This window comes from Homo sapiens, chromosome 13 (assembly GCF_000001405.40).
Source record: "Homo sapiens chromosome 13, GRCh38.p14 Primary Assembly".
NCBI lineage: Eukaryota > Metazoa > Chordata > Mammalia > Primates > Hominidae > Homo > Homo sapiens.
In genome coordinates, this window is record NC_000013.11 from 53781431 (window position 1) to 53792358 (window position 10928).

Sequence of the window (10928 nt, forward strand, 5' to 3'; positions counted from 1 at the left end):
AAATGCCTTCGTGCCTCCCTGCTCACCGGTATATTTGCTTTAGAAATGAATGTTACATAGTAGATACAGACTTGCTTCTTTAACTCTTTTCAGAAATAAAGTGTGTGTATGTGTGTGCGTGTGTGTGTGTGTTGGAGGGGGTGGTGATCAGTGTCATGAAGTACGCAAGGAATACATTAAGCATGGATATGTGGATTGCATAATTTAAAACTGTCCTGGGGCATCCTTAAATTATGCATAGGTTTTGTTTTCTTATTTTACGTTTTTAGAGGGAAGATACTTGATTCTGCAATTTCTACACTGTTAGCATTATCTAAATCTCTCTCTCCGTTGAATGCTAAGCATCCATAAGAAACCATGCCATCTGCTACTCAGAGTGTTTTCCTAAGATGCTTCCAGGTACTCATCTTTCCTCAAACCCTGTTGTTTTGTGAAGACACATCAACTTCCCATCATGTATAGAGCGATTTCGTTAGACCTCACATTTACTTGTGTCAAAACAATGGCATCGACCCATTCAGCAGCAATTTGGAAGTGTTTTAATAATTTGTTGCTTTATTTTACAGTATTTATTTTGTGTCATCATTTAAAATCAAATAAAGACAGGATTCAGTAATTCTACTGTTACGTGTGAGTTTCACAGATCCTGAACTTTCTTTCCCTCTTTCCTCATGTTTCAGGGCAAGCGCCACCTTCTGTGGCTGTGCATACTCTACGCTATAACATGAGCTGTAGGTTTTTCAAAGCAAATAACCTTCATTTCACTCACAAACACACTCCAAGCTCGCCCTCCACTTTTGAATAGTGTACAGCTAAAAACCGATGGTTAAAGAAGAAAAATAAACTGTGATAATCTGGAAATGAAATTGAATATAGCGATTTTATTTTCTTGGGTCACTTTGTTTTGTAAATCAGCAATTCAGAGCGCTGCAATTATTTATCAGCACAGGACATTGTCTTTAGTAGTTTACTGTTTAGAGGTCTGGCTTCATTAAAACATTACTTTTAGGTCACTTTTAATTACTATTTTTGAGGACATGGGGTATATGTTTATATTGTGTCCTTTTAATGTGAAGCCAAAGTTTAACAAGTTGATATCCCAAGTCCTACAGACGTTTTAACATTTTCCAATGATTGCAGCTTTTACTTTACCGCTAGGTGGCAGAAGAGTTTTAGTTTCTGGTGCTGCGCTTTCGAAACTTCCACTAAGCACTCAGCTCATTCCCGCAGCAGCTGAGGCTGATATAAATGTATAAACAAGCAGAAGCTATATATGAGACACACCACCATCATTAAAGCATAAAGCAACAACTTTAAGCCAAGTTCTCGGCTTCCGATGGTCTGGTGAAACCAATGCTTTGCTGATGGGCTGAAGTAGAGGAAGGAATCCTGAAAAAAATGACCGTTTCCTGAGGTTAGGCTTTGTATGTGTGTTTCTGTGCCATTGTCCAGGACTAGTGCGTCCAAGGGAGACAGCTGGCAACTCACATATCCATTGCTGCTTGGAAGGATTTCTAATGTTTCCACCTGACTCTGCTATGGGCATCGTTGCCTGAACCTTGTAGGAAGAGGAGCAATAAAGCAACATAAAGTCAAAGAGCAGCTAAACATGGAAATGCTAAATTTGTTAGATTGAAAAGCATACAGCTTGAGGATTCTTAACAGTGAGAGGTTAGATACAGAGTTAAGTAGGAGTAGAATTTGAAAGCAAAACATTGTATTTGTATATAGAAATATTTGCTAAGTTGATATCCAGGCCGTCACCCAGAATATATGAGTTTTTGCAACATATGGAATATTAACAGTAAAGTCAGGGCGATTCTTTGGTCAAGCACAAAGAAAGGTACTTGCATTTATAGAGTATATTTTATGAGTTGTGGAGAGGGGATTTTTTTTTTTAATCAGACCAACCATTGTATTTCAGAATAAATAAAACCTCTCCACTTAGGAAAGCACAAGAGGTATAAAAAGAAAGGAAAAAGTGTGTGCTCCCATAGGTAGGGGAGAGGCACAGCAGCTGCCTTCTTCTGGAAAGGCAATAATCCGTAGGTTGTATTCTAAGTTGACCCACCTACATCTGCCATCGCAGCCGGCACCTGGTGCAGGATGAATGACATGCAATACTCCCCAAATGTCACTGTCCAGCCGTGTCCACCAATTAAAACTAATAAACATTCCTCCCCATGCTGAAGATGTGCCGCCAGCCCAGCGAGCTGCAGGGCCGGCGATGGCAGAGCATAATAACTGCAGTAGCAGCAGCAGCAGCCAGAGCCCTGGGCAGCAGGTGCACTTGGCCGGGAACAGGGAAGGGCACAGTGTGGCGCTGGCATTGCCTGCTCACATATTATGCAGGCAGAGCTGAGTTGTTTACAAATTGATAGCAGAGGGGATTTGGTTGGAGAGGGAGCAGAGCACAAACACACTGTACTCAGTGCTCAGAGAAACCTGAGAGGGGTCCTGTGCTGGCTGCTTGGGTGCCAGTCACCCTAGAAAAAGTCCTCTTTCTGCCCCCCTCACTGCACACCTTAGCAGGTAGTACAGGCTCAGTTGCACAGGCAGGCAAGTACACCTGCCAAAAAACTGAAGGATTTTCAGTGTTGAGAACCAGAAAGCTTCTTTCTTTCTCACTAAATGTGCCTCTTCCAGGTCATATGGACATGCAAGATCCATCTGGATATAGCTTGATAATTGGAATACAGAAAAGATGCAAAATTTAAGAAAGGTCTTAAATGGGAAAAAAATAAACCTTCAGGAAGGAAAGGAGCTTGAAGTTAGGTCTCGGTATCTACTGGGAGTTAGGGGTTTTAGTCACCCCATTATGCTGACTCTGTCTGAAATGAGTCGGAGAGTCCTGGGAGTGTGGAGTGGCTGTGTTGGGGTCAGCACGTGGGGCTCAGTAATGCCAGCCTTGAGGGGGATCGAGTGGAGGGAGCAGGATGGAGGATAGAGCTTTCCATGTGCAGTTAATCATGGGTGATGCTCCCACTCAACAGTGGGGCATCATGGGTGAGTTTTTCTCAGTTTAAGTGTTATTTCTACCAAAGGAAGGAAGGATGTGTCCTTTTTCCACCCTGTCAGCAGTGCAGTAACCTATGTCAGTCTTTGTTTTCACCTCTGCTGATTTCAACGACACTCTCTGGCAATGTCAGTGCTGTCAGTTTAAAGTCATGTTTCTTCCTGTGAGAGCTGTTTTGAAAAGGGACACCTGAAGGTGTCATTTTCCTGTGGTTAATTAACCTTGAGACCAGAAGCACACCAGCCAGGCCCTTAATTACATTTGTGTGTAACCCTGCAACCACAGGGTGATGAGGGGCCACTTCCACTGCTGTCATCTCTCGGCCCCACCTGTCTGACCCATAATCTAGGTGATTGTTATACAACGATTTCTGTCCTCGACATGGGTTGTTGTGCATTCTGAGTTCAGATGGCAGCGTTTTGATTCTCTGAGTGAAACCTTTTGGCAGGTGTATTAGGACATTCTTGCATGGCTATAAAGAAGTACCTGAGAATGGGTAATTTACAAGAAAAGAGGTTTAGTAGGCTCATGATTCTGCAGGCTGTACAGGAAGAATCACACTGGCATCTGCTTCTGGGGAGGCCTCTAGGAAGCTTACAGTCATGGCAGAAGACGAAGTGGGAATAGGCATATCACACAGCAAAGGCAGGAGCCAGAGAGAGAGAGAGGTACCACACTTCTAAACTGCCAGATCTAGCAAGAAGTCACTATCACAGGGACGGCACCAAGGGGAAGGTGCTAAACCATTCATGAGAAATCCACCCCCATGATCCAATTACCTCCCACCAGGCCCTACCTCCAATACTGGGGATTACAATTCAACATGAGATTTGGGTGAGGACACATATCCAAACTATATCAGCAGGTACATGCAAATTCTTACAGTTGAAGAATTTCTTTAACAATTAAAAAAAAATCAAAGCTAATTTGCCTCTCTCTTCCATGGTTGCTTGACCAAAAACTGGAAAAATACACATTTGTAACTGTGGTGGTAGAAAGCAGTGCTGCCACTCCTTTTATCCTTTCTAAAATTGAGCCAATTCCCTAATTGATACCCCAGCCTCTCCCTGTTCCACAATCCGGGTGAACATAGCTAAATCTTTTTTCACAGTGTTAGCTGCCAAAAAAACATTGGATTCTAGCATACTGGGTCTTGAGCAACAGGGATAAAGTGGCTTGAGGCAGGGATCAGGATGGTGTGGAGGAAATAGGGAAGACAGTGGCAGGTGGTTGTGTTGTCAAATCAGAAAACGTGGTAAAGAAGAGGAAGGAAGCGAAAGCTGAAGATAAGCAAGAGATGATGGCCTGGAAGTTCAAAATATAAGCAGGGAACATTAATCCAGTCTAATGATCTGTAGAGCTGGATCCAAGCTAAGGTTTTAGATCACAAGAAGCCGGGAACGTGAGCCAAGGACACACACACAATGGTTGGTTGGAATCTGAATACATGGACTAAGGAAGTAAAGTGTGAAGCAGAAAAAATCAGCAATGGACACTGCCATATCCAAGTGACTGCTCTCCTTATGTTCTTCTCTGTCAACTTAAAACAGGTTCATTACTCAGTGAAGAATAAAACAGGAGGCCAGACATGGTGGCTCACGCCTGTAATCCCAGCACTTTGGGAGACCGAGATGGGTGGATCATCTGAGGTCAGGAGTTTGAGACCAGCCTGGCCAACATGGTGAAACCCCATCTCTACTTAAAATACAAAAATTAGCTGGGCATGGTGGCAGACGCCTATAATCCCAGCTACTCAGTAGGGTGAGGCAGGAGAATCGCTTGAACCCAGGAGTCGGAGGTTGCAGTGAGCCAAGACTGAGCCACTGCACTCCAGCCTGGGCGACAGAGCAAGACTCCATCTCAAAAAACAAAACTCACACACACAAAAAAAAAAAAAAGAAAAGAAAGGAAAAATAATTTTACACTTGCTACAAGAGTGGAAAATAGAAAAGGATTAACAAAAATTAAGTCTGCCTAGTACAAACTAATCTGATTTTGGATTTTCCTGTGTAACATTGCCACCAGATTTGTATTAATTTTCTGCTTAAATACATCCAGTGACAGGCTCCTTTCCAGTTATTGGTAGTTTCTGAATATTGACAGTGCTTCCTCATGTTTATTCCAATATAGCCTCCAAAGAGCTTCCACTCACAGGCCTTTGATTTGATTCTGAAACTATGTAAAGCAAGTCTATCATGCCATCATATTTAAAATACAGTCTTCCCTCTCAGTATCTATGGGGGATTGGTCCCCTGACCCTCACGGGTAGCAAAATCCATGGGTATTCAAATACCTTATGTAAAATGGCATGATATTTGCATATAACCTACACATATCCTCCTATATACTTTGAATCATTTCTAGATTATGTATAATGTGTAATACAGGGCTCAAACATCACTTCATTCTAATGAATTCAACATAACTCTCAGCCCAGGAAAAATTTAAGTTTTGCTTTTTGGAACTTTATGTAATTTTTTTTTCAATCTGTAGTTAGTTGAATCCATGAATGTGGAACCCATGTGTATAGAAGGCCAACCATGATTAAAAAGAGGGTTCATGGCCTTTTTTTTTTCTGAATGGAAAACCCACAAAAGCAAAATATTACCTTTAAAAGTTTTATTTTTAATTCTTATGAATATGTAATAGTTGTACGTATTTATGATACGTACATAATATTGTGTAATATTGTGATACAAGCATAGAGTATGTAATGATCAAATCTAGTGATATCCATCACCTCAAACATTTATTGTAGCCCATTATTTAACTCATTAAATACCTCATAAATGCCACGCAGTTTTCCAAACTGTAGAAATACCAGAAGGAATAAGATGAGATCTTGATTGTCTTGCCATCTGTATTCTTGCTCTGGAGATAGGAATATGTGTATTTCTCATGGTGTGGAATCATCAAAAGCTATGAATAAGTTGTGTAGGAAGTTCTGGGAGGACACAGAGAAGGGCGAGACTAACTCTGGCTTATGTTTAAGGAAGGAGTCAAACCTTGGAGGATAAGCAGGACTTCGGTAAGCCTAATGGTGGAGAGTTTCAATATCTTGGGTTTGCAGAGAGAGAGAGAAGAGAAATGCCTCCTTTCCTTGTGTAGAAACTTAAAAACAGTTCCCAGATCTCTTCTTAAACACATCAACACTGTGAGCACCAGGGTTCTCCAAGGGTGCTTTAGCTGATTCTTCACTTCTTTTGCCTTTTGAAATATATTTAAAGAGGAGAAGTTTGCGGTTGGCTATCTGGCATAAAATAGGGTTTACTAGCTCTTAAGTCAGTAACATTAGCTCTGTTTTAAGAGAAAATCTAGGAGGAAGACAGAGAGGTTTCGTATATGTTTTCTGATTTTCCTTGTTTTTGACTCTGGTTTGATGGAGCTGAAATTAGAGAGTAAAATAAATTTATTAAGATTTTTAGTTCTACATTTTTAAAAATGGGGGTCAAATCTTAGATATCTTTTTTTCCTGTTGCATCTAGGAAATTGTGCATAAGACAGTTAACAAAAACATGTGTTGAAAGTATGCCTGTTTTAGTGTAATGGCAAAGTTAATGCTATCATACCTCTTTTATGAATTGAATTGGCTTTCCATAAAATTGTAGTTTTTATTATATGTATTATTACTATACAACACAGATTCTGCTCTCACATGCTTTTGTGATGTAACCTTCAAATCTACCCCTCTCTGTGATGCAAATGGATCATGGAGAGATAGTGATGCTGGTTAATTTAAAGAGTATAGGATGTTAAACTGCACATGGTTTATCTATCCCAAGGAAATTCAAGAGTCATAAATCACCATGGTGACATAGCATGTTATATTTTATCCTTAGGGGGATAAAATACTGCAAACCTTTTCTAATGATTTACACATTTCCCAAATGAATTTTCATATTGACACAACTTGGGCCACAGCAGGGAATAATTGTTCCCAACAGTTCCTAGAACAGAGGGGGAGTCATATGCTAAAATCATGCCCTGATAGCTCAAAGCATGTTTACTGTACTGTCGACCTTTGTCTTGTTTAATAGTTGTAAAAGAGAAATACCATCCATACCCCCAGGGATTCCGACTAAAACAAGATTTCCTTTTATAATGAGATGATGCAGTTAACAACATTTGGAACAATCTAGTAATATGTGCTTTTATAACACTTCTAATCCAATCATCCTCAGGTTCTTAAACATTAAAATTGCATTAAGTCCGGAAACAAACATCAGAGATCCTCTGAGCATCAGATCACAGTAGCTCCATTTCGAAGACAGCAAAGAGGAGGAAACATGCCTCTCAAAAACGCAGTCCTGTATCTTCCAGTTCTTTCCTCCAAATACACTTAGAACTTTGCCATAACAGTTTTCAAGTGATATAAGCATAGCAATCACAATGAAAAATTTTCAATGTTTAGAAATTCAAGCAGATCTCAAAAAAGCATCTCACTGAAAAATTAGATCACAGTTGAGAGAGAGAGCTTCTTCAATTTATTATTGTTAATTATTAAAGTTAAATAATTCTGTACCAGACACTGAATGCTATAAAAAGCAGGGAAGTCCTTCCTATGAAAAATGTTGCAGATTTTTAAAAATAGTCCTGAATATTTGTTTTAAAGAGGAGACGTGAATGAATGATTGTCTACAAACCAAATCCCACAGCCTTAAGTAATCGCAGTGGTCCACAGATACTGCTTCACCTGTAGCTGATATACAGTTGTTTCATGGCAACTCTTGGAATTATTCTACCTCTTTAATAATGCAAGGTCCTCTTGGGACCTAATTTCTGCCTTAAAGAATTCATAATGCATGCTTTGTATTAAGTGAACAATTTTAATGAGAAAACCGTATCTATTTGACTGGGGAATAACTGTTGATTCGATTTGAATGTTATTTTGAATGAACTAGCATGAGATTAACAAGATTTTACTATATTGTTTTCCCATTTATATCCCAGCCTTATTTTTGGTCATAATTATTTATTTTACATTATAGTAAGTTGAGAAAGTGACAAGGAACTGAGAGAATGGGCTTTAATTAGAGTAAATGATAGAAAATGTACAGAGGAGAATAATTAAAGAGAATAAATAACATACAAGCATGAACCTGTTTAATTGGGTGTCTTTTCAATTCTTTCTAACCTTGAGATTCTGTGGATAATAGCTATGTAGCAGGTCTACTCCTCAATATGGAAAAACAACAAGGTCCTCATAGCATTGATCCGCCCTTCTTTGAATCATTTATCAGCCAAAACTTTACATTTACTTGTGAGACTATTGGAATAATGGTGTAACTACAGTAATAAATAGAAAATGTAGAGAATGCATAATGAAAAACTGAGTAATACATTAGTACAAATAGAGTATAAAATCACATGAGAACAGATATGTGCTTTTGTGTATCTAAGACTATGCTTCTTACATAGTTGGTACTCAATAAATATTTGTTGAATGAATAGTGGGCAAAAGGTAAACAGTATCAAAGGAAGCATAGATAATATGATTAAATTATAATTACTAAGTACTATCAGATGAAGAGTGACCATGTGAAGATACTAGCCAAAGTGTTTTATATATATTTTATATGTAGTGTTTTATATATAATTTATATATAATATATATGACACTATATATAATATATATTATATATAAAACAATATATGTTTATATATATATGATGTTTTTTCACTTCTATTAAGGTATAATGACCCATAGAATTTATATATATTCATGGTATACAATGTGATATTTTGATATATATATGTATGTATACATCATGAAATGATTAAATCAAGTTAATTAACAAATTCATCACCTCAACATACTTATTTTTTTGTGATAAGAACATGTAAGATTTAGTCTCAATGATTTTCAAGTATACGTTATTATCTATAGCCACAATGCTATGCAGTACATCCCCTGAACTTATTTATTATCTCTAACTTAAACTTTTTAGCCTTTCACCAAAATCTCCCCATTTCCTACCCCTTCCTCCTGAAAACCACCATTTTACTGTCTGCTTTTGTTATTTCAACTTTTTGGATTTCACATATAAGTGAGATCATGAAGTATTTGTCGTTCCATGCCTGGCTTATTTCATTTAACATAATGGTCTCTAGGTTAGTCCATGTTGCAAATGACAGTAATTCCTTCTTTTTTTACTGCTGCATGGTATTTCATTGTATATGTACATTATGTTTGTTTTCTTTATCCACTTATCTACTGATGGATGCTCAGGCTGATTCCATATCTTGTCTATTGTGAATAACAGTGATAAATATGGAAGTACAGGCATCTCTTTGAGATATTAATTTCATTTGCTTGGTGTATATACTCCTCAGAAGTGAAACTCCTGGATCATATAGTAGCTAAATTATTATTTTTTTGAGGAACCTCCATGTTTTCCATAACGTCTGTACTAATTTACATTCCCACCAACAGTTATACAAGGGCAGTCTTCTCTCACATCCTTGCCATACATAAAGATTATCTTTTGTCATTTTGGTAATAACCATCCTAAAAGGGGATATCTCACTGTGGTTTTAACTTTTATTTCCCTGATGATTAGTATGTTGAATATATATTAATTTATAATCCTTACCAAACAGATCCAATGAGATAGATTATATTATTATTTCCATTCTATGGATGAAGAGAATGAGGATTAGAGTTGCTTAAGCTCACTTAGGAAAGATTGAATATAAACGTAGGTTTCCTTAACTCTGAATGTCATACTCTTAACCCTTAAAAGGCACTCCCTATCTCCAAGGCTGTAAAACTTGGTGTTCTCATGATGTCTTCCAAACAAATACTGAAGGATGAAAAACTGCTTAGTGTTCATCATTTGAGACTGGACATGTTCTGGATGGTGTAGATGTAGGCATTGCTTCTATTTGAGATCAGCCTACCATTGAAATGCTCTTCTGCCTAGCTCTTGACTTCATAGTTTAATTTATGAGGAGAATGTGGAGACAATTAATTAAAGTGTTTGTGGGGTATTAAAAACCTACACAATTAGATTCAGACAGCTATGTTTGCTAAGATATCAGTGTATTCTTCTCTCATACTTATAAGGAATTATAAAAAAAGAAAACATTATTCCTACCAGGATGATATTTACATATCATGTAAAATAAAAAAATAGAAGCATATGGAAAGACTTAACATTTAGAGTACAACTTGCAGATGACCTTTGTCTCACCATCTAGTTTATGCTTATTGGGGATTTAAATTGTTGCTCACTTCTCAAACTTGATAATTTAAAAATGGAAAATACAGGTTGAAGTTAGGTCTATATTAAATACTAAAACTATTGTTTGAAAATTGCAAAGGGTAAATCAAAATCTTGATTACTGGAGGTGAAAAAATTCTCTTGTACACATATGTATGAATACATACAGAGTTATTCAGATCCATCAAATTCGTATTATTTTAACTATCTGATTTTTAAATAAATTAGATAAAGAAAATATAATACGGTAATGATGTAGGGTGCAGAAGCCCTGGGTTCCTGTCCTAAGTGTCTTGCTCTGATTCACAATTAAAATGTAATAGTTTTGTATGAATCAATATACACACACAAAAACCTATCTACACTCACATACATATATTCATTTATTAAGTATTGTACCCATCTTGCTATGATTCTTAATACTAAACAATACAAATAATGACTAATATCATTTCCAGAGTATTGATTTAAATGACAGTCTTCCAGATTAATGTCTGTTCCTCTCTATTTTCAGGTCCCAGCAGAAGAAAAAAGCATCCCTCCTACCTCATTTCTCCTTTCGGAGGCTAGCAGGAAATTAAAAAAGGAAAGGAGTTTCATGCAGTATTTCTTACAGCAAATTTCTCAGAATCCAGAGATACTTCTTTTCTCTGTAATAAGTTGCTGCAGATACAAAGGAACACTTATGA

At 37.5% G+C, this 10928-nt stretch overlaps 1 annotated feature.

Annotated features, from left to right (window-relative positions):
- Positions 1104-1398: a silencer, noted in NCBI's record as "tiled region #6127; HepG2 Repressive non-DNase unmatched - State 3:PromF". NCBI's record gives its function as "represses a minimal TATA promoter and a strong SV40 promoter by Sharpr-MPRA in HepG2 cells {active_cell/tissue: HepG2}" and the evidence as "EXISTENCE:reporter gene assay evidence [ECO:0000049][PMID:27701403]".